General features: G+C 38.2%; 1 protein-coding gene across 10 annotated transcripts in view; it reads left to right on the top strand.

Moving 5' to 3' along the window:
• The window catches only part of SPAG17 (sperm associated antigen 17), a 231,639-nt gene that overhangs the window by 81,323 nt on the left and 123,384 nt on the right, over nucleotides 1-26,932 (top strand). For 6 of the 10 annotated variants that reach the window (XR_946574.2, XM_006710426.4, XM_011540934.2 and 3 more), the window contains 11 exons: nucleotides 1,980-2,166; nucleotides 4,106-4,300; nucleotides 6,055-6,236; nucleotides 10,589-10,750; nucleotides 11,904-11,976; nucleotides 12,188-12,300; nucleotides 16,898-17,035; nucleotides 17,122-17,235; nucleotides 17,834-17,984; nucleotides 22,264-22,491; nucleotides 22,587-22,805. Coding sequence is in view for 9 of the 10 variants with exons in the window: in XM_006710426.4 (XP_006710489.1) it covers nucleotides 1,980-2,166; nucleotides 4,106-4,300; nucleotides 6,055-6,236; nucleotides 10,589-10,750; nucleotides 11,904-11,976; nucleotides 12,188-12,300; nucleotides 16,898-17,035; nucleotides 17,122-17,235; nucleotides 17,834-17,984; nucleotides 22,264-22,491; nucleotides 22,587-22,805 (1,762 nt within the window). In the remaining variant the exon portion in view is untranslated. Of the gene's footprint in view, nucleotides 1-1,979; nucleotides 2,167-4,105; nucleotides 4,301-6,054; nucleotides 6,237-10,588; nucleotides 10,751-11,903; nucleotides 11,977-12,187; nucleotides 12,301-12,348; nucleotides 12,608-15,582; nucleotides 15,828-16,897; nucleotides 17,036-17,121; nucleotides 17,236-17,833; nucleotides 17,985-22,263; nucleotides 22,492-22,586; nucleotides 22,806-26,932 lie in introns of those variants that run through there. The other 4 variants (XM_006710427.4, XM_047448734.1, XM_011540936.3 and 1 more) reach the window with 4 other exon arrangements.

The raw sequence follows: 26,932 nt of genomic DNA, 5'->3' as shown, positions 1-26,932 counted from the left end.
GGAACACACGCAGCCTCTTATGCCTTAGGATCTTCACACACACACACACACACACACACACACACTACATTTTCCCTGCTTCTCATGTGTATGACTCTTGCCTTTGAGATCTTCGCTCAAATGTCACTTCCACAGAGAGTCCTTCATCACCTACTTATGAAAGTGTTCTCAATTGTGTTTCTATAACGACACTGGGTTTTATTCTTCATAGCAGTCACGAAAATTTATAGTTACATTTTTATCTGTTTGTTTGTATTTCTTTTTCTCTTTCTTTCCCCATAGGCTGTGAGCTCAAGGGGCAGAGCCGAGCCCCATTTTAGGCACCAATTTATACCTGGTGCAGAGAGAAATGCTAGGACCCTTTCACTCTTCTGTACCTTACCTGTGCTCTCGTTGCTGCCTCTACCCAGTGTTTGTGAGTGATACCTGCAGCCTTTACTGATGTTTCCCTCTGCTGCTGAGGAAGGCTGGGACAGAAACTGAAGCTCATAAAAATATTCACTGAATGAATGAATGAATAGATGAATACCAGCATCCCATACATTTTCAGAACTTCCATTCTCATTGAAATTCTATTGTTAAGATTACCGCATTTGTGTCATTGGGGATCGACTAAGGGAGATGTGTGTAAAGCCTGGCAAGCTTGACTTTGGCAATGCCCTCTTTTCCTTCCAATCCCCTTTTTCTGTCTGGCATGGAGCGGTTTCCCTGGACCTCCACTTCCACTCCAGGGATGTATTTTCTTCTTCGCCCCTAGCTCTTCAAAGGAGTTAATTTTACCATTTACATATGCTCTAGCCAGTTGGATTTTTCTTCACTTTCTAGAAATGGGTGAGGCCATTTCATAGTCTGTACCTGCCTCCACCCCAGGCTGTGAGTGACACTTGAAGCCCCTGCTGATGATGTCCCCTTCTGCTGAGGAGCAGGTACAAAGGGTGGCAGTTTCATCACCACTAGAGCCATAGGTGCTAGAAGCCATGGGCCCCTCTGGGTGCCAAAGCTAAGAGCCCTTAACATCCAGAAGCCACATGGAGTAGTGTAGGGGAAGTGCTCCTCTCCCCTTCTGCGTTACATTCTGTTAGCTGGATGTCAAAGCAACATATCTTCTCAGTACTGCCACAACATTTCAGTGAGTACAACTAATTTGTATTAATAAACACATGAACTGAAAGTGTAATTACATTATGAAGTACTGCACAACATTTTTGGCAACTGTTGGGAAAGAAAGAAAAGCGGGGTGTTGGGGCGGAATTAATGTTTACATGGTACATGCCAATCTAAGCATGCCCCAGAGCATCATGGAAGGAATTCATCTTGCCAACTGATGTTTTATTCTGACCCCATCTTTGAAGGCATCAAATAGCAACCATTGGTTATGTCTGCACATTCTTCAGTAGGATTATAATAAAAATACTTAGTTAATGCTAAGTTCCCCAAATAATCTTTTAATCTTTATTTAAAAATTGGTCAATACATTACTTGTACTATGAAATGCTTTATCAAGGAGATTTTAGCAAAACATCTATTTTCCTTTTTATTTTTAATTCTTGTTTTGTTTTTAATAACCAACCCCACCTCTCTCTGAGACTCAGACAGAGGCTCCCCAGGGCTAGACTAAAAGATAAACCTAAATTCCTGACACCATTATGTACTCAGAATTATCTTCCCGCCCTGCCTTCAAACCACTGGGGTGGCTTCTTAGGCCACACTTGGCTCTCCCATAGGACTGATTCTCTTCCAGAAGTCTCTGTGTAACCAGCTTTCTGGCACCCACTCCTCCAGTCCTCATGCATAAATGTGCCTTGTCACAACTTAGTCTCAAGCTGGAATCTCCACTATGCTGACTTATATAATGAATACCTAAAAAATAAAGAGTATACAAGTGATTGAATGAGATGAAGAATTAATTCACCTGGCAGTAGAAAAGCCATTGCTTGCTCACTGTTTGATTTGGAGAAAAAAGTGTTCTCTCATTCCAGGTAATAGAAGACAAACCTAAGTTAGAAAAGGATAAAGGGAAAGCAAAATCTCCCAAGGAGAAAAAGGCTCCAAGTGCCAAGCCTGCCAAAGGAAAGGGAAAGGATCAGCCTGAGGCAAATGCACCAGTGAAAAAGACCACCCAGTTAAAGCGGAGAGGAGAAGACGACCACACCAATCGTTACATTGGTCAGTAAGGTGCTGCTGCCGGCGGTGCCTTTCACGAGTGAAACACAGTGGCAATAAAATGAGACCAGTTAATTTGGTGACTCACATAGAGCGCATAGTTTCCTGACGCCAATTCCCCCACAATCATTTTGCCCTAGAGACACTAGAATTTTCCTGCCTCATGAACTGTGATGCGATTGGAGCAGTCATCCCAATAACTATGCTTAGTCTTTCCCAGCCTTTTCACTCATTAGAAACATAAATCACTTACTCCCATGACACCCTGAGAGAAAAAGACTTCTATTTGCAATTCATTTGTGTCTGCAAGCAAATTTTTCTTGAGACAGGGTCTTCCTCTGTCACCCAGGCTAGAGTGCAGTGGCACAATCATGGCTTATACTACAGCTTCAAAATCCCAGGCTCAAGCCATCCTTCCACCTCAGCCTCCCCAGTAGCTGGGAATACAGGAACATGACCATGCCCAACTTATTTACTTATTAATTTATTTTGTAGAGACAGGATCTCTCTATGTTGCCAAGAGTGGCCTTGAACACCTGGGCTCAAGTGACTCTCCCTCCTCAGCCTCCCACAGTGCTGAGATTACAGGCATGAGCCACTACACCTGGCTCTCTTAAACAAATATTTATTAAGCATGTGTCTTGCTAGGCACATTTACACAGTGCAAATAAAGGCTGAGATAGCCAGTTGACTGTGCTGCCAAGGAGCTTACTATCTTGTTGGGCACATATAGGAAAGTCAGACATAATTATAAAGCAAAATAAAAAGTGATTATGGTCATGAGTGAAACACAGTGGTAATAAAATCAGATCAGTTAATTTGGTGACTCACATAGAGCACATAGTTTCCTACCCCAACTCCCCCACAATCATTTTGCCCTGGATAGAGACACTAGAATTTTTCTTTCATTTTAGTTTCTTAATATAAAAATGATTCATCCTAGGCAGCTGTAAGTAATTCATTCCTGCCTTCCCTTGAATGCAAATGAGCTACCTGTTGTTATCTGCATATTTAAATGAGATAGCAGAGGGCTTTCCCATCCTTTACCAGTTGACTCCCCTCATGCATCTCTGCTCTAAATCCAGTAGACTTGGAAGAAGTGATATTATGAAGTCCATGGGCAATATCAACATTGATTAGTTTAGTGATAGAAGAAAAGTCATAACTTAAAAATGAAAAGTTGTGCCTCTGTTGCACTATTTATATATTGATCTTAATGGGCTTTTGTGAAATGTAGTGCTTTTTTGTACCATGTGCTATCAGTATTAAAGTATAACAATTATTCTTACCCTGCAGAATGTCACATTCTAAAATAAGATCATGTCTTAATATTAATAAAATAGTATAACCAGGGCCAAATAAAGGAGAAAAATGTTAGGAAAGTAAGTGCACACTATGTATTTTAAATTTTTAATGCAATAAATACATAGTTACTACATAATCCATACTCGGGATTCACACCCATTGACATAAGTGCATACAACACTTTTTAAGGGAGCATGTCCATATTCATTATTTCCCTCTCCTGTAAACACCTCTACTTATAAAATACCACAAAGCTGTAGCTATTTCTAATTCAGGAGTAAAGCCAGATGTTGCTCAAAAGAGATTAGAACCCAAAAAAGTTACAGGCTAAACTCTTAACAAAAACCCAAGCACACATTTTATATGACCACAAGCCCCATATAGGTTTGTCCTTCTATTACGCCTATGTCGCATTTGCAAAAGTGATTTAATATTTTGTAAAATAGTCACAGCCGTCTTACTGGAAGGGCAATAATGAAAAACAGTCAACATGACTGCATTCCAGCCAACTGGATCATTTTTGGCAAGCCAGAGGGATTATAAATGCATGCATAATGTATATAGCCATTGAACTGGCTGAGTGCAACCTGCTCTCTTTTACAATGATGGCTGCTCTTCTTTATGGTATTTTGAACAGACGATGAGCCAGATGATGGTGCCCAACATTACATTATAGTTGTGGGCTTTAACAATCCTCAGCTATTAGCAATTATGGCTGAGCTTGGCATTCCTATAACCAGCGTGATTAAAATATCTTCAGAGAATTATGAACCTCTGCAGACACACCTGGCAGCAGTTAACCAGCAGCAGGAAGTTCTTCTTCAGTCAGAAGGTATGCAGTCTGCTACACAACTTACTGAGTCCTTCAATATTACCCACTGTCCTTAAAGTACAAATATAATTTTCTGTCCAAAACATAGTCTTACAATTAGTACATTATTAAATCTTTTCAAGACTTTGATTTGCCATTTACTCTGCTTGCACCAGCCAAGTGTTGTAAATTTTGCAAATTAAAATCATACCCTGTATTTATATCCCCTGTATCATACCCTGTATTTATAGCCACAGAAAACAGACTGCAGTTCAGAAGACTTGGTTATCCAACTGCCTTTTCTGGAGTATTTGATCTATAAGTTTTACCTAAAGGATGCGCTGGATGAATCACTGTTAATAATCTGTTCTTGCAGAAGTCACAGTTCAAGTAGCCCAAGGGAGGTCACAGCCTTAGATTCTTGCCCTGTTCTGCTATTGTCTTATTATGAGAAATCACTGGGGTGCTATCTTCCTAGCCTTAGACTAGCAAGTTGTGGGATGAAGTTCCAATCATGCTACCATTTAGCCATTTTGAGCCTTGAGGTCTTCATCTAAGAAGATTATCCTAGATGACTTCTGTTGAAGGGAAGCAAAAAGCCACTGTATACTTTAGGAAATAGAACTAGAATTTGGTGTAAGATTGTGTTACCAGATGCCCAAGTTTTTTCTGCCATATGCTGTTGCTTTTATTGTTATTTATTAATAATATCATTTGCACAGTGTTTTGTATCTTATGCAGCCACATCCCAATTTTTATAACACTACATTTTTAAATTGCTGCTCTATAAAGTTAGAAATAGCTACCCTTGATAATACTAATAGGTCTCATATATTGGGCACATGTCTTGGGACTAGGCTCAATGCTAAGGACATTAAGTACATTGATTCATGTGGTTTTCACAACAAGCCTAGGAAGTATGTTTTATTGTTTCCATTTTACAAAAATGGACTCTCAGTCTAGAGGCAGCTATTAAGTTAAAAAGTTGAGGTTCAAACCTAGGCTATTCCTGATGATCTCAAAGGATAGTTATAATACTAAATGGTTTATTATTGAAGTGAGAAAATGCTGCATAAGCTCCAAACACAGTCTCTCTGTAAAAATATTTAATATATAAAAATAAAATATTAAAAAATAGACTTTATAATAGAATAATGAGATCTTAGTAGTAGAAACTACTATTTAATTATAGATGTAATAAGCATAAATATTTCGGGCAAATTTTTAAGCATAATTTTATGGAAATCTGTCATTATTTTACAGTAAAAGTACAAATACCCAGAGAAGCCTATTGCTATTTAATGTGACCAAAAGGTAACTGAAACATACAACATTGATCCACTCTGTTTTCAGCAATATAAGAAGGAGAACCAGATAAACTGCATTTGTAATCAGTTATGTAGCAGACACTAAGTTGATTTAAAAAGTGATATGGCAGAAAAACTGGTCCTATGTAGATTGTCATCTAAGAGTGATGGAAATCTTGAACATATTTAGCTCCCAAAATGTGTGACGTAGTCATAATCTTCCTGGGCCTCAACTATAAAATGAAGGCATGAGATAAGTTCATATTTAAAATGAATCTCAGAAATAAAGTTCTCTGATTTCACAATTGTATACTCCGACTTCAAAAATTTATCAAAATTACATTCCTTTATTTACATTTTCTGGTACTGTACAGATATCTTGCAATGCATATGACTCACCATGTTCACTTAAAGTGGGAAAACATTTAACACTCTCATTTGGTAATATAAACATGTTGCTATTATTAGATCTAGAAGCAGAAAAATTGAAGAAAGAAAATGCCATAAAAGAGCTTAAAACTTTCTGGAAGTACTTGGAACCAGTCCTGAATAATGAGAAACCTGAAACAAATCTCTTTGATGTTGCTCGACTTGAGTACATGGTCAAAGCAGCTGATTTTCCTTCTGACTGGTCAGATGGTGAGATGATGGTTAGTACACACATTACTGAGAGTGCATGGTTTTAACATGTGACACAGTGGTTCTATTTGCTCCATTTATTCATCACATAGATAGTTACTGAGCGCTGATTACAAGGCATTGAGCTAGGCTCTTTTATCTTCAGGATAATGATAATATGGAATGCTCAATGATAGTTATAGTCTGATTCATTAGCTTTTAGTGTGTGAATTAACAACAAATAATAAGATGTAGTAGATGAGGATCAAAAGGATGGTGATTCTTTTATATGGTGACACGTGGCTTTGTTTTAAAACTCAACAATGTTCTAGACAGTAATTAGAATCTTCATATGTATTAATTTTAAAATAGTAAATTTCATAGTTTGTTAAATTACATGTCTGACTTTTTATGTTTCAGTTCATACATTGCTTTTCTAAGCCCTTGCTTTTATTCCCCCCTTTTTTTTTTTTTGAGACAGTCTTGCTCTGTTGCCCAGGCTGAAGTGCAGTGGTGTGATCTCACTGCAACCTCCGCCTCCTGAGTTCAGGTGATTCTCTTGCCTCAGCCTCCCATGTAGCTGGGACTACAGGCACGTGCCACCATGCCCAGCTAATTTTTGTATTTTTAGTAGAGATGGGGTTTCGCCATGTTGGCCAGGCTGGTCTCGAACTCCTGACCTCAGGTGATCCACCTGCCTTGGCCTCCCGAAGTGCTAGGATTACAGGCGTGAGCCACCATGCCTGGCCCCAAAATCTTATTTTTAATATATTTGGCCAAGAAGGTCTATCCTAATAGGATGACTTGACTTTGGCCCTGTAGTTATCAGGCATTTCCCAAGAGTGGGGTTTACTGGCCCCTGCTATTGAGGAGTTTGCAGAGAGGCAAGACTAAAACCGTGAAACAGAGAAGCAGTGGTCAAGGACCCACATATCTGGTGCTCAGTTATGTGAAACATACTCTAAGTTTCCTACTAATTCAGACAAAGAAAAAATGGAATGATTGGAAAAGTAGTGAATGACAGATGCATGATGGCTTTTTAACAAAACGGAAGGTCAAATGACTACTTATCGAAGATGTTGTGGAAAGTATTCAGGCATCCCTCTGCTACAGAAAATCTCTCAGGTCTCTTTCTAGTTGACCCTTATCCCAACTAACAGGGGCCTCGGAGTGTTGAATACCCTGCAGGACGATATATTTCAGCGTTAAGGGAGCTGAAATGAAAGCAAAGTCCTAGGGAAGGACCATATCAAGTGAGTGCTCTGAAAAAGGCTGGGCAAAGTGGAGTGTGGAGGGTGGATGGGTGTCTGCACAGTGACTGTGGGTAGCTGACAAGAAAAAAAAAAAAGCCGACTGTCTAAAAGAAGAGTGAGATCAAAGCCTGGAACTGTTTCTACAGCTGAGGGTAGGCTATGGGGCATGGACACTTCTGACTCTGAGTGTCCCTGGTTCTATTACCTTGAGATGGATATGCACTTAATGAAGTAAGTGAAAACGCTGAAGAGGGTGGCCAGACTTGAACCCTGAAGGATGGACAGGACTTGAATAAGTAGTAATGGAGAGATCAGTTTGAGTTATAAAGACTCTCAGCACAAGGCATTAGATGTCACTATGTAGAAACACCACACTTAAGTCTGATATCCTGGTGAATCTCAGCCTTGTTCTCTGCGTGGAAAATGAAGCTGAATGTAGAAAAGCTGTGATAGAAGGCAGAGCTGGTTCTGGGAAAGACTAGAGACTCCAAACTCCCTTTGTCCTTGCCCCTCCCCACCCCTTCATCTAGATGTGTTCAGCTTTCCTGCTTTGTCTTCCACTCTCCTGCCTCCTAAACCTGACCTCAGAGAAGGACCCACTGTCCTCTGTCCTTCACTATTTCATGTTGCCTTGGGTCAGTATGTTTCCCTATCCTGGAGATATTGGCATTCCAAGTAACATATGAACATTCCACCCTATTTTCTTGAAACTCTAGATTATACTAAAAAAAGTGACATATTTAGGGGGAAGAGGCTATTTCCTTGGGATCCTGAAATCCCACCTCAAATCCAGCTTCTTACTCTCTCTTCCACAGACCAGCTGTTCTCCCAAGCATGTAAAATCTCTGGTTAATAAAACCCACATCCACAAATTTAAATTTTGGAGAAACACTGCTCCTCTCATTTGGGCCAAGGCCTGGCTACATACCCTATCAGGAACTTGTGTATATTTTTTGTTCAACAAGACACAGGAGATCCCAGCCTTATAATCCCTGAACCATAATTCATTCAGAGGAGGCTGCTTCTAAGTCAGCCTCAAGCCAAGTACCTTTTGCTCCATCTCTAGCTAGGGCTCCCTACTGTGTGTCTTCTTTACTTTCCAGGCACAGGCTGCATAAAGCTGAAATGCAGAGTCTAAAATCGTGTACAGTCCATTGCATCATCAGAACATAGATGTGAACACTGTGGTATACAATGGCAACTTCAAAGGACCGAGCACCATTTCTAGCACTCTGCTTCTCACTGCAGTGTCCACATTTTAATCACTTCCTTTTAAAGAAAGTGGTAGTGGCTATATTTTACTTTTAAAAATACAGAATGGAACAGTTTAAATGGCAATTAAAGTTCAGAAAAATTATTTTATGTGGAAAAATATTACCAGTCTAGTTATGGTAGAACATTCCTGACTTCAGAATTGAAACATTAATGTAAAGGGTCTCTAGTTGGGCCATGAAGGTAACTGTCAACAATGAAAACATTCAGGTCTCTACAGAGCCAATTAGGTCTGTGTTGCCCAGCTTCCCAGACTGATCTATTAGTCAATTTGCAGGTATTTACTGAATGTCATCTTATACCAGGGCTGTGGTCTGGGTCCAACTGTAGTAATCTTTTAAAGCCCATGCATGCTTCTGTAAGATATGGTTTGTGAGTGAAGCACTCAGCATTGAGGATGATGGGGAGGGAAAGTCTTGAAAATGGTTCAGTCATTAAATTGGATTCTAGAAGAAAAGGCCATTGAATTTAATAGGTAAGATCACAGTTCATTTTAAACAAGATCATTTAATAAGCATAAAAATTATAATCTACCCCTAGTAGAAGCAGATCAAATGCATAGTGTCACACTTTAAGCTATATCTGTAAATTGATAATGGCTTCATATCCAAGATAGGATCCATCCAAGGAGCCCTCTTCCCCTTTGATTGGCGGAAAGCATTTGCAACCTTTCCAACCTTTGGCTGCAAACAAGCAGGCTATATTTCTGTTGAACCAAGGTAACAAAAGCTTTACATCAAATAAATGCCCTTCAATGCATGATAACTGTCCCTGGAAGACATTGGCAACATTTCAAGTTAAGACCCTGGTTGCTGAAATAATTTGTTGTCCTTAGCATGTGATTTGCTGTTTCATTTTAAAATGAATTAACTAGGTTAAGCTAAGGGATCATTGGGCAAAAGCTTTCTCTATTTCCTAGAAATAAAAACAAAAACAAAAACATATTTCTATGCCAGAATTTGGGCAAGCAATACCAGATTGAAGCTTGACTGAAGAAGCCTTGGTCTTAGTGGGAATGGGAAGCCAGCCAGCAACCAGGTGCACCATAGTGATTGGCAGAGCTGTGCACGTCACTGGACTTCTGCATACAAGGAACCATCTCATACCACCTTACTTCTTGAACTCAGACATAGGATGAGCCTATTTCATTCTTCTTTGCTTCCAGGCAGACAGACCCAGCCATCACAATGCTTTCCTACTTCTGGAAACAAAAGCCCAAGTAATAGAGGTATCTGAGCTACAATTTGCTTGTCAGCTCATAAAACTTGTGGGTATTATAGAAGCAATAGTCTATTAGGATTTCTTAGTGTTTTGCTGTAGAGGTAGAACAGGTGAAAGGAAAGAAGTGGAGCTTGGAGGAAAAGAAGAAATACTGATTGCCCACATACTTGTGTAGATGCAACGTACTTGGGTAGATGATCCACAAAGCAGAGTCAGTGTTTCCATTGTGTTCCTTGCATAGCCAGGTAAGAAATCATCTATAGCTTGTCACTGGCTGAGGATATTAAAGTTACCTAACGTGTTTAGGATTTGAGATACTAAGAATACAGGCCACACTGCTGAAACTCATGACTCAGTTATATTTCTTTTAGTTGAAGCATTAATTAGGCTCTTAAAACATTAGGCAGCCATACGGCCCTCCAAAGGAAACAGTCCATATTGCGGTAAACAAAGAAGAAGAAGAAAGGTTCAGGAATATAAATGGGGTCACCATGGTTGGGATTCAGTGGTTTGGAGATTTAGGGGTTTGCTTTCCTGTATAAAGTTGATGGGCATAACTGTTAAGAGATATATACCATATATCTGATTCCAACAGTGTAAAACTAGTAACCAATTGCCATTAAATCTCTCACTTGTAGCTGAAATTGGGCACTGATATTTTTGAAAATATTGCCTGCTTGATGTATGACATCCTGGATTGGAAAAGGCAGCACCAGCACTATTTGGAAAGCATGCAGCTTATTAATGTTCCACAAGTGGTTAATGAGAAACCTGTATTAGAAGCCATGCCAACTTCAGAGGTAGGCATGGGCTCAATGTCTTTAGTGGGATGAATGATTCACTGAACAACTTTATTTTCATATTTATAAGGCATATGAAGAAAAAGTTACATAAATACTTACATTAAGGTCATACTGCCTACTGGCATAAAAGATAGCTACATGATGGGGGCTTTGTGAAGCTCCTCAACTACCAGACATTTACAAAGGCAAGGATGGAACCTTCTTGTCAGCACTTGGTACAATGAATAACATCTGTGACAGGAAAGATATTGACAAAGTAATTGCAGTATTTATTTAGCACCTGGCTATGTGCTAGAGCTGTGCAAGATGCTGGCAATACAATAATGAAAACTCATTCCCTGTCCTCCTCATTGAGGTTAACTTTTAAAGAGGATGGCAGTCAAGTCAACAATGATTTCAACGTAGCATGATGAATGCTGAGAGCAGTCATCTCAGCTTGCAGTAGAAGAAATAAACTTGGTCACCTGATCTAAACAGGAGTAGAGCAAAGAGAGGGAAGTCAGGAAAACTGAACCAGGATTAGCGATGTGGGGAAAGATGAGTATGAAGTGCCTAATGGAAAGCATGATAGGGGAAAGGGATATAATGATATTCTCAAGACAGGGGCAAAGATGTACAAAGATATGGAGGTCAAGGAAAAGCAGTATTATGGCACAAGCCAGGAGCACAGGGTAGTTCAGTGATCCCAGGCTGCATGTGCAAAGTGAAGAACAACAACAGAAACTAAACCTGGAGAGGCAGGAGCCAGGTCATGAATCTCCTTTGGTGCTAAGTTGAGAGTCTGGTTTATATCATGTAGGCAATGGAGAACTGCTGAAGGATTGGGAGAGGGAGAATGGGATGACTCTGAGTCACCCAGGGGAAAAAAGAAAAACCTGTTTGATGCTCAGTGCCCCATCACCCCATCACTTTCTCCACAATTGCTCAGTGGGTTCTGGTAGGAAAAACTGAATAATGTCTATACCATTACCTTCTTTCCTTCATCAAGCAAAACTCTTTTCCTTTGGTTCTAATATTAGCAGATGATTTTGTGGTGTGAACATAATTATACAACCTGAGTATCCTGTTGGATCTCATCATACCAGCATTTGATGAGGGCATCTCTCAGCTGGGTATCTCAGTTGTTTCTTTTTAATTATTCTTTTTCTAGGCTCCACAACCTGCTGTACCAGCTCCTGGAAAGAAGAAAGCACAGTATGAAGAACCGCAAGCTCCACCACCAGGCATGTATGAAATCGGCTGCTGGAGGATCAACACCATGAGCTGGCACTTTAAGAGATAATGACTGCCCTCCATATTACTTTCAGCCTCCCTTCACCTACAGCTCCTGCATTTATTAGTGCATAGTCATAGTTTGAAATTATGCATGAAATTTTGATGGAAATAATGGAGAACACAACTTAATTGGGCAATGGTATTTTCTATATTTTACAGTGACTTCAGTCATCACAACTGAAGTAGACATGAGATATTACAATTATTTGCTGAATCCAATTCGAGAGGAATTCATTTCTGTGCCCCTGATACTGCATTGTATGCTGGAACAGGTGGGGAGGCTTTTTCCCAGGTTGTATACTTGAGTAAGTCGTTTCATCTTTCCTGGCTTCTGTTATTTTTACACTATTTTAAAATTATACTCATAATACCTAAGTGCATTCTCCTTTATAAAGATTAGAATAGTTCAGATGAAACTAAAGTCTGCTTAAATCTTCAGCTTCAATTCTCTTTTCTTTTGCTATGCTCTGAAGCCATTTATGTAACATTCCCTGAAGTTTTGGTAGAACATATCCTCAATACTCTGTGTCTGGTGTCATTTTAATGGAAGAGGAAAAGGAAGAGAACATGGACAAGTGGGTGAGGTTGTTAATAGTCTTTATCTTTAAAATTTCTTTCATGCTTGTAGATTTAACTAGATTTTTGTATTTCTGAGGCCAATTTTTGTCATCAGCTTTTTTCTTAATGAATATGTCTTAATAAGTATTTTATTGGAGTTTTAAATCTGATACAATGTGCTTTACACTATTCACTTAAATATGTTTTAAAATTTCCTCTGTATCTGGTCATGTACCTTTCCTCATGACTGATGTTATTTATTTGTGCTTTCCTTTTCTTGATCATGATTGTTAAGGGCATAGCTATTGTATTGGTCTTTTCAAAGAACCAGGATTTGGTTTCATTGATCAACACCTTTTTACTTTTTATTTTATTAATCTCTTCATTAATTTCTTCATCTATTTATTTATATATTTGTTATTTATTTAATTATTTTTAAGACAGGGTCTCTCTCTGTCCCCTAGGCTGGAGTGCAGTAGCACAATCATAGTTCACAATCTCAAACTCATGGGCTCAGTGTTCCTCCCACTTCAGCCTCCTGAGTATCTAGAACTACAAGCATGCACCACCATGCCCAGCGAATTTAAAATAATTTTTTTGGAGAGACAAGGCCTTGCTATGTTGCCCAGTATGGTCTTTAACTCGTGGCCCCAAGCCAACCTCCCACCTAAGCCTCCTAAAGCACTGGGATTATAATCATGAACCACCGTGTCTGGCTCATCTCTGTCATTTCCATCTTTCTACTTTCTTTGGATTTATTTTGTATTTCATTTTAATTGAAAGCTTACTTCATTTATTTTTAGTCTTTTTGCTTTATTTAAGGCTATACATTTCTTTTCGAGTGTTTCTTTGTTTGCATCCTGATGCTTTCAGTGTATTCAATTCTAAATCTTTTATTTATTTACATGTTTAACCCATGAATTATTTTGATTTCCATTATTTACTGATGATTTCTAATTTTTTAACATTATAATCAGTAGGCATTTTCTGCAAGTTAGCAAATTCAAATTTCCTGAGGCTTCCTGTGTGACCTGATGTAACATGGTCATTGTGAAGGTTCTATGTGTATCTGAAAGAGTTTGTGATTCATACTAGTAGCACATATGTAGCACTTACAGGCGCCAGGCACTGTTCTAAATGCTTTCAATATGTTAACTCATGTAATCTTCAGAACAATCCTATGAAGTAGGAACTGTTTTTATCCCCCATTGTATTAGTCCATTTTCACACTGCTGTAAAGATACTACCCCAGACTGGGTAATTTATAAACAAAGGAGGTTTAATTGACTCACAGTTCCGCATGGCTGGAGAGACCTCAGGAAACTTACAGTCATAGTAGAAGGGAAAGCAGGCACCTTCTTCACAAGACAGCAGGAACAAACTACCACTTTTAAAACCATCAAGTCTCATGAGAATTCCATCATTATCATAAGAACAGCATGGGGGAAACCACCCTCATTCTCCCATCACCTCCCTCCCTCGACACGTGGGGATTACAGTTTGAGATGAGATTTAGGTGGAGATACAGAGCCAAACCGTATCACCCATCTTACAGATAAGGAAACTGAGGCACAAAAAGTTTTTCAAGTTTGTTCAAGTAATAAGTAGCAGAAATGACTTAAAACCTAGTGAATCTGCACAGAAAAGTATTTGGATGCCATTTCTGCATTGTCGTCTTCCTTTTAATGTTGCTGTTAAGAAGTCTGATGTCAATCTGATACTTTTTTCTTTGAAGATAATCTTTACTTTTCTTTCTAGCAGCTGTTAGGGTTTTCTCTTTATAATTGATAACACAAGACTATGTCTAGGTATGATTTTATCATACTTGTCCTTATGGTGTAAGGGAATTATCATCTGATTTCCAGTCACATTCTGTGTGAAATAAAAATTCCTTACACTGTCCCATAAAGGCCCTAAAAATAGGGTTCTGAGATGTACCTGTCATCTCACCTCCTACCTGCCACCACACACACACACACACACACACGTCATCTACATAGGCCTTCTGGTTTTTCCTCAAATATGTTGCTTAATTCTATCTTAACCTTTTACTCTACCTTCTCTGCCTAGAAAGCTTTCTCTCTTTCTGGAGGGTCTCCAGTAGAAGTGTCAATCCTTAGAGAGGCCTTCTCTGACCACCTGATCTAAAGAACCCTCTCCCCACACAACACACAGCACTCTCTACCACATCACCTTGTTTTATTTTCTTATCAACAGCTTTTCTTTTTGCAATATATTGATCAGCTATTTTTTTCTTCCCTTCCCCGTCCTCCTACTAGAATATAAACTCCATGCAAGCAGTAACAATGTAGTCTTGTTCGTTGCTGTATGCTCAGCACACAATAACCACACCTAACCCATAGTAGACACTAAATACATATTTGTTAAATTCAGAAGATTCTAAGAAAGTCTTCTATCTTCAAATATCATTTTTCCTATCGATTTACCTTAATTATTATTGAATGGGTGTTGGAGTTTCAGGGTTTTTCTCTTTGTCTTTTAAGTTTTCTTTCAATTTTATCCCTTTGGGAATTCCAGCTTAACTTCCTACTAATGCTTTCTTCAGGGAGTCCAGTCTGCTATTGAAGTTTTGTTTTGGCAGTAATGTTTTTAATTTGTAAATTCTCTACTTTTTTTTTACAATTGCCTATTCTTGTTTTTAGTGCATGGATGTGACACATTTTTTCTGTTAATACATAAAAGGTTTATTTTAAAGTCCTTTTCAGACTCTATCATCTCTGATACCTCCCATATACATTTTTCTGGTTTTTGATTGTCTTAGTTTTCTAACCAATTAGATAATCACACTAATATTTGCCTTTAATTGCTCCATGAAGTTTTTAGAAGATCAATAGTTTTATTATATCAATAAATGATAAAAGTACAAAAGCTCTCTAGAACTTGCAGTATCATTATTTTATTTATCTTATCCTTTCTTGTTTTATTTTACTAAACTTAAAGCAACAAACATTTATTAACCATCTACTATGTTCCAGGTACCAAAGAAGACAGTTAATGAGCTCGGCGCCTAACAAATAGAAGTCAACCAGTAGATCCATGTTGAATGAACGAAGGCTTAATAATAATAAGGGGATGAAAAAACTGAAATATAGGAGTGATGGGATGATACTTTATAGGATGGGATGTTAGAATTGGACATTTCAGAGAAGAAACAGATTTGAGTGATCTTTTATGATTGAAGTGGGTCAAAGAAATGATCAGAGGATAGAAAGTGGAAACAGTGAGTGACTCTTCTGACAGTAGGGTGTTTCTACAAGGTAAAGAATAGGATGCAATTTTGTTATTCTAGAGCAGTGGTTCTCAACAGGAAGTGATTTTGTTCCCAGAGGACATTTGGCTATGTCTGGAGATATTTTTGGTTGTCACAACTGGAAGGGTGCTACTTGCATAAAATGGGTAGACACCAGGGACATTGCTAAACATCCTATAGTGCACAGGACAACCCCCCACAACAAGTAATTATCTAGGCCAAAATGTCATTAATGCCAAGGCTGAGGAAACTTGTAGAGGGATAGGAAATCATAGAGGATGATTATAGGATATAGGGTAAAGGGAAAAGCTGTAAATTAGGTGCCTAACTTGATTATGTTTCAACCTCTTTTACTTGTTTACCATGAAAAATTGAACAAGGCACTTAATCTTTCTAGACCTCACTTTCCCCACTTAAAGGAGACACTATTACATTTACTGATCTCATAATCTAATAACTTTTCTATTTTTGAAGAAAGAATGAGGATTGGGCCTGAACCCCAGTTTCTTCCACTCAATATCCTTGAGCTTTGGCCAGTCACCCTAGTTTTCTCCTCTATACAATGGAAAATAATATCTGTCCCCACAAGATTGCTGTGAGGCTTAAATGATCACATGTGAAGATGTGTTACATAGTACCTGGCTTGTGATAGACACTTAATAAATATTTAATGAATCCAAAGTTATATGAGCACTCTTTCCACTGCTTTAAGATAGAGTAAATATTAAGAAAAAATGTTATTATTCTATTTGACTAGAATCTTCATGAAATATTTTTATCAAAAACTTATTGTTACCATTTTCATGTTATCTATTTTAATAGAAATATTAAATTTATATCTACCTTAATGCATGGATTGCGAACACTTTTCCTTTTACTTGGTGATCACTGATAGTTTCCTGCCATTTTGTGTCATCAGTGGTACTTGGGTCCCAGAAATGGACTGGTTCTTACTAAGCAGTGGGAATGCAGCAATGAGCAGTGAGTATCACTAAAGAGCGGACCCTTACACCAATTCCTCTCATTGTTGATTTCAACAGGTTGTTGCAACTGAAGAAGATCTCGTCCCACCCAGTCTGCGGGAGCCATCCCCCAGAGCAGACGGGCTAGACCACAGAATCGCAGCTCACATTGTGTCCCTTCTGCCCTCACTCTGTCTCTCAGAGAGGGAGAAAAAGGTCAGATAGCCTGAGATAGCAGAGTCTTCATGCTTTGGAAAAGTATAGATCCTCTCTTTAAATCAATATTGTTTCAATTTGCATAGAATCTTCATGACATATTTTTATCTGAAGAAGAAAATGAAAGCAAAGCAGTGCCCAAAGGCCCCCTCCTACTGAACTATCATGATGCACACGCCCACAAGAAGTACGCACTACAGGTAATAATAATCAGGTTAGCCCAAGGAAAACCGATGTGGGAAAGTGTGTTTATAACTATTCAGTTGAAAGAAGCTAATTAGATAACTTCATCAACACTAATTAAAATGTAATGTACAAAATAGATACTTGCATACAAAGTAGGACCTGGAAAATGGACCTAGATACAGAGAAAAATGATGTCAGCCGAGGAAATTTGCCTGATTATTGAGGTCTAATTAACAATTCAATTAATTGTTACCACCACTAAATTTTCATTAAAACCTTATAATTATTTGCTTCAAATATCTGCTGCTATGAAAAACTAGTAGAAGCCAGAAAAGGATCTCAAAAGAGAGAGATGAATATATATGAGACTTTGGCAGTTTGTCACTGTGAATGAAGAATCAGTCATTTTTGTGCACCAGGAAATCCTGGCAACATAGGAACTAGCTTTTTGACCTTCAGCAAAATCCCAAAAGTTTGTCTTTCCCAATTACCATTGATTTCCCCTGTTCCCAAATAATGAGGGTGAAGGTATCATGTTTAGCCTTCTCCATATGCATAAGGCACTTAACAGCTTACTCTAATGTCTTCTGTCATGTTGCTCTTTTTCATCAGGACCAAAAGAATTTTGATCCAGTTCAAATTGAGCAGGAGATGCAGTCCAAGTTGCCACTGTGGGAATTTCTTCAATTCCCTCTACCCCCACCATGGAACAACACTAAACGTCTAGCTACAATTCATGAGCTTATGCACTTTTGTACGAGTGGTGAGTCCATTGCTTTGTCTTAGCTTAAACTCAATTTAATTAATGGTCATATATGCCTCTTAAAATTACACCCTTATTTACAAAAAGTATTTTCATTATTGAAAGACCTTTCAGAGGCTAAGGTGGGTATTTTGATTGACTACAACTTTCTTGTTTGAATAATGTCATTAGCAATGTTATCATAGCTATAATGCATAACACTCTTCAATTTGATACACTGGGGTTTTTTTCCCGTTGTGTTTTCTTAACCACAATAATTCCCTTTTTTCCTCGTTTTCCCCCATCTCTGTCCCAAATACTCCCATTGACGTCATTGGAGATGATGTGGTAATCCCATCCTACTTACAGAGAAGTAAAGGGCTGTGTGTGTGTGTGTGTGTGTGCGCGCGCGCACGCGTATGCACGCACGCATGCACGCATATAATTTCCAGGACAATGCTGTCCTTCTGTCTTCTGCCTGACCACTGCACTCTTTTATCATCATTGCAAATCATGTAAAAATTACAGTAACATTGCAGAGACATTATCTGGAAAGAGGGAAGAGCAACCTGGACCATGCAACTTTGCTCCAATTCAGCGATACCTGTCTTTGAATTTTCATCTTATATCCTCTTGTTGCAGCCACCCACAATCAATAAAACACAGGTTCCAGAAGAATTTTTCTTCTGTCTCTTTCCATTCTGTCCTTTCACAGTTCTTTCTTTTTTTAATTAGAGAAGAAAAAAAAAGAAGAGGATCGAGATAATCTGAATTTGGCAGGAATGTTCACCAGGGTAAAACTAATGTGAGCACTACCGTGGACCATCTCTGCACATGAGGACAGGAAGGAACTAAGAAAGAGTGTGACTTGGGAGGCAGATGTAGATATCTTGTAACCAGTGCTACTGGAAGCTCATATTTAATCCTATCTTGAGAGAAAATTCTGAGCACACTATTTATAACCAGAAATTAAATTTGTATCTAGAAAGATGAATCATAGAACCATAAAATTTCCTAACTGAAAGAAACCTTGGAATTAATCTAATCGAAATCTATTTTCAGATAAGAAAGCTGAGATCCTAGCAGGGTTAAATTATTTGTTTTAGGATTATAACAGTGGTGGAAAAAAAAAGAAAACATTCTGGTCTCTGGATACCCAGTAGAACACAATTTCCTTACATTACTGAGCAGGAGTCAGGAAGAAAGCCACCTCAGAAGTCTGATGGTACAATCTGCAATTTTAAGCACCCGCTCTGCACCTAGAGATACACAGATGAATAGAGAGCCCACTGTCAGCATGTTGCTGAGCAGGAGTTGACTCAAGCTAACAGCTTCTCACAGCAGGAAGAGCCATTTTATGCTCTTTGAAGACAGTGGGAAGAGGGGTCATTAAGATACAATATCTAGAATCACGTCTCATCTGAGTTCACTGGGATTTTGTGATATAGGCAGTCATTTCCCAAAGCAAATTCTCATTCCCACTTAAGGGAATATGTAGATACTACCTATAAGAAAGGACATTAACTTCCACAGACATCTTTACTTGACAAGGAAGCATTTGACCTAGAAAAGAAAAGAGCATGTGCATATTCTTCCTTACCATTTCCTTTGTAAGCCTAACCGAACTAAAAAATATTTTTATCTTGATTTCTTTTTCCACTTTTAAGTAGGCTTAGTAATAGAAAAAGCCAGGAACTTCTGAGTCCTACCATTGACTCCTGGACATGCAGGGTATAGCCTCGAGGGCCTGGTATGTCATTTCTGTTGTGCACATAACTACCCCCTTCCTGAGTAGGGGGTGAACTTCTGTCCTTTTTCTGTGTCCTGCCACCCTCCACTTCTCCTTCTGGCTTAAGATGTGACTCCATTCTCCCTTCAGCTCAGCTCTCTACGCAGCACAGCATTTTTGTTCCTGCTGCCACCATTGAAACCTCACACATATGCTGCTTACATGCCCCATCCTGGACCCTTGGTGCTCCTCCCCTCTTCCTCTTTTCCCTTTTGCCACATCATGCTTAACAAGTCCAAAACCAAGCTCTTGATTCCTCATCCCTAAATTTGTCCCTTCACCATCTCCCTTATTTCAATGAATGACAACTACTTTCTATCGAAAACCTTGGAGTCATCCCTGCTGTCTCTGTTTTTGTTTTTGTTTTTTTGAGACAGAGTCTCACTCTGTCGCCAGGCTGGAGTGCAGTGGTGTGATCTCAGCTCAATATAACCTCCACCTCCTGGGTTCAAGCGATTCTCCCACCTCAGCTTCCTAAGTAGCTGGGATTACAGGCGCACGCCATCATGCGCAGCTAATTTTTGTATTTTTAGTAGAGATGGGCTTTCACCATGTTGGTCAGGCTGGTCTCGAACTCCTGACCTCGTGATATACCCACCTCGGTTTCCCAAAGTGCTGGGATTACAGGAGCGAGCCACCGCGCCCCACCGCTGTCTCTGTTTTCTCACACACTGCAATCAATCCCACCATACTCCTCACTACCATCCCAGCCCAGTCCCCCACCACCCCTCAAGTGGACTATTCCAATAGCTTTCCAGCTGGTCTACAGGCTTTCAATTTTTTACCAACAGTCTTTTTTCCACACAACCACCTGAATGGCCCTTCTAAAATGTTGGTTGGATCATGTGCCTTTGTAACTGAAAACTCTGCAGCAGTCACCCAGAATAAATCCTAAACTGGGCCAGGTGCTTGGCTCATGACTATAATTCCAGCACTCTGGGAGGCCGAGACGGGTGGATCACTTGAGCTCAGGAGTTTGAGACCAGCCTGGCCGACATGGCAAAACCCATCTCTACAAAAAATACAAAATTAGCCGGGTGTGGTGGCACGTGCCTGCAGACCCAGCTACTTGGGAAGCTGAGGTGGGAGAATCACCTGCACTCCAGCCTGGGTGAACCTGTCTCAAAAAACAAAACAAAACAAAAAGCAACAATAAGAACCTAAACTGTCTGCCACCTACTTTTTGAGCCATCACCTATCAAGCTGTCATGTTCCATTCTCCCTCATCTACACTGGCCTCACTGTGATTCCTTGAACATGTAAGTCACACCCCTGCCTCAGGATCGTTGCATTTGCTGTTTTCCCTTCCTCAGTCACTTTCCCCCAGATATCCATACAGCTTGCTCCCCTACTTCCTTCACATTTTTGCTTAATTGTTCAGAGGACTTTTCCATGACTGCTTTATATAAACTAGAAGCCCCTCCCTGACTATTATCACTTTTTGTCCCCTCAGCTGGCTTTATTCTTTTTGTCATCTCTTTTATCTCTTACATTTATCTGTTTCCAACGACTAGAATGGATATTCCATGAGAGCAGGGAGCTCACTATTTTGTTCACCATTGTGTTCCCAGCTTTCATTATAGTTAATGATGCCTAATAGGGGCTCAAAAAATATTTGAGAAATGAACAAATGAGCAATCTCTCCTTCCTTCTGTAACTCTTTTACCTCTTCCTTGTCTCTCTTCTGAATCTCCCTGTTTTTTCCCAAAGGACCTGCTGCTTTTCTCATCTTTGCTGGAGAGAAAATGGAGGTTACTTCTGAATTATTGATCTGCATCATTTTATTTTTTTCTGATTGAATTCCATGTTTATTTGTTAATTCTACTTCTCCTTCCTCTACCTTGGAACTTCTAAAGTGTAAGAGCCAAATCTTGATTCTTTCAAATCCCAGGCACCTGTGACAAAGCCTAATACGTAGAAAATAATAACCAATGAAAGAGTGAGCAAGTGAATAAATGCTGTAAAAAGGTAAATACACAATTATAAAGCCTGCTGAAAGCTGATAAACTTTGAAGTGCAATTATGGAAAATACTGCAGCAGTTTATGTGCACAGGAGGAAGCCTTTCCTGAGCCCAAATCAATAGAAAAACTCAGTCAATATAATAGCCTATATTAGGCATAAGTAAATAATTTCTCTGTTTTAAATTACAACAGGAGAAAAGGGTGCTTTCACTCAAAAATAATAAGTTGTGTAAGCATATTCAACCAATATGGTACCCTGGAAAGTCCATGCAAATGAATCTGGACACCTAATATTGATTGAGCTATGAAGCAGTTTGGGAGCATTATAATTTGCTAAATTTTATCTTTACTGTGTTGTTTGCTTATCCTCAGGTACCTTTGATATTTGCGGCAGACTGGGGAGCCAATGTTTAAAATCAGCTCAACAGCCATTGTGGCGTGACTCTCTTGTCTTTCTGGTAGACAGACTCCCTGGTTATCCCTCTGTCAACCCTGTACCATGTGCTAATAAGAACATTTCCAGCAGCACTGGTTCTGCTTTCTTACAGATGTCTTGAGCTGGAATGAAGTAGAACGAGCCTTCAAGGTGTTTACTTTTGAGAGCCTGAAGCTCTCTGAGGTTGATGAAAAAGGGAAACTGAAACCTTCTGGGATGATGTGTGGGTCAGATTCTGAAATGTTCAACATACCGTGGGACAACCCTGCCAGATTTGCTAAACAGATAAGGCAGCAATATGTCATGAAAATGAATACTCAAGAGGCCAAGCAGAAAGCAGGTACACTGCATGGAGGGAATGGAAAGCATTCTTGTATTTTATGATCGTCAATTTTTCTCATATTGTATCTCATGGATGTTCCTTACACTGAATAGATATTAAAATCAAAGACAGAACACTATTTGTGGATCAGAATTTGTCAATGTCTGTGCAAGATAATGAAAGCAACCGAGAACCTTCAGATCCTAGTCAGTGTGATGCTAACAATATGAAGCATTCTGACTTGAATAATCTCAAACTCTCAGTCCCTGATAATAGACAGCTGTTAGAGCAGGAGAGCATCATGAAGGCTCAGCCCCAACATGAGTCTCTGGGTAAGTTAAAGTGTGTGTGTGTGTGTGTGTGTGTGTGTGTGTAAGACACTATTATAGTACACATAAATCAAAAAATGTTTAAGATGCATTATTTGAATTTAAGTTATTTGGTTAATTAAACTTTCTTACTGAGTATTGTTGTTCCATAAGTTCTCTTTATTTCAACCCTTGTTTTTAAAAATATCTTAATTCCTCTTAGTCCACACTTAACCTTAGTAAATTTAGCACAGCAAACATCATTAAAACTTTCATCATTAGTGTTACACAGTTATTGTGATTGTGTGCTAAAAATTATAAACATTCATCTGCAAAACAGAATGAAATGTCCAGTACAGAGCTTGGTTCAAAATCAATGCTCAGTGAACATCATTTCCCCTCCTCTCCCACTTATGGCTCAGGCTATTACTGTCATTGTAGACTAGCATTAAAAACAGTGCTATATTAGTGCTATATGAGGAGGTGCAAAAGAAGGATATTGGTCTAAATTTATACTGAGCTACCTTACACATCACTGTCAGATTAATCTGTGTAAAATATAGCTATTTTGTTTCTCTACTTACAGCTTTCAAAGGCTTCCTACTATCTGCAAAATAGAACACAATTCCTTGGCCTACTTCTCCAGTAGTATCAAATTACTTTTCCCAAAACCTTTTTCCATCTTTTTGCTGTTGCTCACACACTCTGTGTTCTAGCCCAACAGAATTAGGCCTATTTACTCTGCACAGCCTGCTCTTTTCAATCTCTGTGGTACCTTTCCCTCACAATATATCCTCCACCCTGAGTTCTCTTTTTGACTATGACTAGGATTCAGTGGCACCTCCATGAAGTCTTATTGGATGTGTCCATATGGAAATGCCTCTCTTAGCATTCCAGGGTCATAATTAAGCTACACTTCTGGTGAAGTGCTGTGGCTCACTCCTATAAACCCAGCACTTTGGGAGGCCAAGGCAGGAGGATTGCTTGAGGCCAGGAGTTCAAGACCAGCCTGGGCAAAATAGCAAGACCTCACCTCTATAAAGAAAAATAAAAAAATTAATCTACACTCTCGTTATGGCATTAGTTATTTTCTTTCAATTTTATAATTATGTATATGCCTATATTAAGGCCTCCATTATACCATAGCGTCTTAGTGATTATAGGTTTATTTTAACATATTAAACAACACCTAAATTTAACACCTAGGTCAAACATTAAACAACACCAAATTTAACATATTAAACAACACCAAATTTAACACCTAGGTCAAGGAAAAATTACAATAGAAATTGGGAAATATTTCAAACCAAATGATAATGAAAAACTGAGTATCAAAACTATAGAATGCAGCTAATGCAAGAGGTACTCCAAAAGAAGTTTATAGCTTTAAATAAATATTTTTCTAAAAGAAGCTAAAGATTAATTAACTAAACATCAACCTTAAGTTAGATAAAGACAAACAAAATAAATCAAAATAAAGTGGAAGAAGGAAAACAACAAAAAATATTAAATCAAGGAAATAGAAAACATAGATGAAAATTACGTCAATGAAATAGAAAACATAGAAACATAGGAAGAACAAAAATGCAAAAACTTGGTTCTTTGAATAGACTAACAATATTGATAAATCTTTTATATAAGGTTAATCATAAAAACCCATGAATAACTCTATCGAGAATAAAACTATATCAGGAATAAAAATCATATAAGGAATAAAGAAACAGAGACTTCCCTCAGATTCTACAGAAATTTAAAAGATTGCAAGATAATATAAACAACTTTGACTAAATGTGAAAGTAAAATGGGCTGTTACTGGAAAAGAATAACTTACCAATAATGACCCAAGAAGAAATAGAAAACCTGAGTAGTCTTATATCCAATTAATTATATCAGTAATCAAAAATCTTCCCAAATAGGGCACACTTAGCCTGAATGATCTCATTGGTAACTGATACCAAACACTAAGAAAGAAATAATTCTAATCTTAACAAAAATTATTCCAGAAAATAGAAAAGTAGCATATCCTCCTCTATTCATTTTATGAAGCTAGCATAAACTTTATAAGAATACTGACAAGGATAGTGGTACAACTGAAAGTTAAAGTAATTCATTAAATTAAACTCATTCACGAACATAGATGCAAAAATTCTAAATAAAACATAGGAAAACTGATCTAACATATACTAAATGATAATCATATATCACAAACAGGTTGCATTTATAACAGGGATAGAAGGAAAATATATACATTGTAAAATCAATATAACATCAATTAACACATTAGTGAGAAAAGTCATATAATCTCAATAGAGCAGAAATAGCATGTATAACTCTGTAGCAATTTATGAAACAAATCTTATTAAACTAGCAAGAGAAGAAACACTACTCAATCATATAAATGTTATTTTTCATATTACTACAACAAACCTTATATATCAAGGTGAAAAGTTGAAATAATTCCCTTTGAGATCAGGAGAATATCCACTATAAACACTTGTATTCAATATTGCATCAGAGGTGTATGCCAACAAGCAAGACTTTTTCTCTTTTAGATAAAAGCATAAGGTTTGAAAAGGAAGAAATAAAACCATCATTATTTGTAAATACTGTGTATGTAGAAAACTCAGAACAATACACAAAAAAATTAGAATTAATATGAAAGTTTAATAAGGAGGCTGTGCTTGTTAAATGATACACATAAGATGTCTGGAGTGCTGAGACTTTACTGTTATAATTATTCATTGTATTAAACATTTGTGTTTCATGCACTTTTCTTTGTGTGTTATATTTCATAATTTTAAAAACATTTAAAAAATAAGTGGTTATGGGCCAAAATTGGATAAAAAAAGAAAAAATAAATTTTAAGAAAGTGATAACATGAGAGAATAAGTGTTAAGTTAGTATTGACTAATGGTCATCTTACCCTTTTCATTAATCTAGAGGTGGGTCGAAAAGGAAGTAATCAATGGAATAGGATTGGTAGAGGAGGCAATTGGAGTGAATGGAAGAGGGAAGAAAATAACATTTATTTAATATTGCTCTGCTATATCTCAAGTACATTAACTAATACTTACATAAACATCAGCCTATGACAAAGATACTATTATCCCAATATCCCAATTCTACAGATGAGGAAACCAAGACTTAGAAAGTTTAAATAATTTGTTCAACTACATACAAGTAGGAAGTCAGGATTTGAACAGAGGGCTAACTTCAAACCAGTGCTTCCTCCACTGTGTCTTGCAGCTTCCTGAGTTCCAGAAATTCCTGGTGATGCAGCTAATGATTTAGCCATGCTCCTAGTCTCATTCATGGTGATTTTTATGCTGATTTTGTTGCCTTTGGGATTTCCTTCCTTCTAACTAGGGTAGATTCCCTATTTCTTTGTCCTAAGTACCCTTACCTATTAGCCTACCTCTCAAAAAATTTAAGCCAATAAATTAACCTGAGTTCTTATGGCGATAGTGTATCCTATGGGACTACAAATGAATGACAGGGAAGTCACTCTGGGTTAATATAGAGTCAGAATAAGCCAGGAGAGGTGTAAGGCCCAAGGTGTTTTCTTTGTTTTGTTTCATTTTTTTTTCTTTAAAGCAGCTGGATAGTTTTCCTTAGGCAACTTTTGCCACCTGGTGGTCAAACTACATAAATTGGTGTGCTGGATTCTGGAATAAAGTAGATTATTATATGAATAGTAACTTCCTAAATTCTCAGGGTTGAAAATGCTATAGTGGACAGTGTATCCTAGAGGCCACGCAATCTGGAGGGTGGATCTCAGGGCCATAAGTGTTTCTCCGTGGTGCATTTTGACCTACTTCCAGGAGCCATTCCATTTGAAAGGGGGAGGGCATCTGGGCTTGGTGTCACATTGTAGCTGTTGTGAGTATGGGACTTTGTTGTTGTTGATGTTGTTGATTTTACATTTCTTTCCCTAACTCTGAATCATACTTACTTCAAAGCCGCCAACTTTAATTCTCTTTAAACAAGGCAAAAATCATTCATGTATTTCCTGCACAACCATTTTAGCATCAAATACATATAAAAGCCTTTTCCTGGACATAAAGGGCTGAATATTTGTGCTTTTCTTAACCAAATACTGGATTTCCATCTGAGACTATTTTTGAACTTGACAGGGCCTAGTGGATATTTAT

This window comes from Homo sapiens, chromosome 1 (genome assembly GCF_000001405.40).
Source record: "Homo sapiens chromosome 1, GRCh38.p14 Primary Assembly".
NCBI classification, from domain to species: Eukaryota; Metazoa; Chordata; class Mammalia; order Primates; family Hominidae; genus Homo; species Homo sapiens.
The sequence above is the reverse complement of the archived record's forward strand: the minus strand, read 5'-3'. Positions and strand labels throughout refer to the sequence as shown.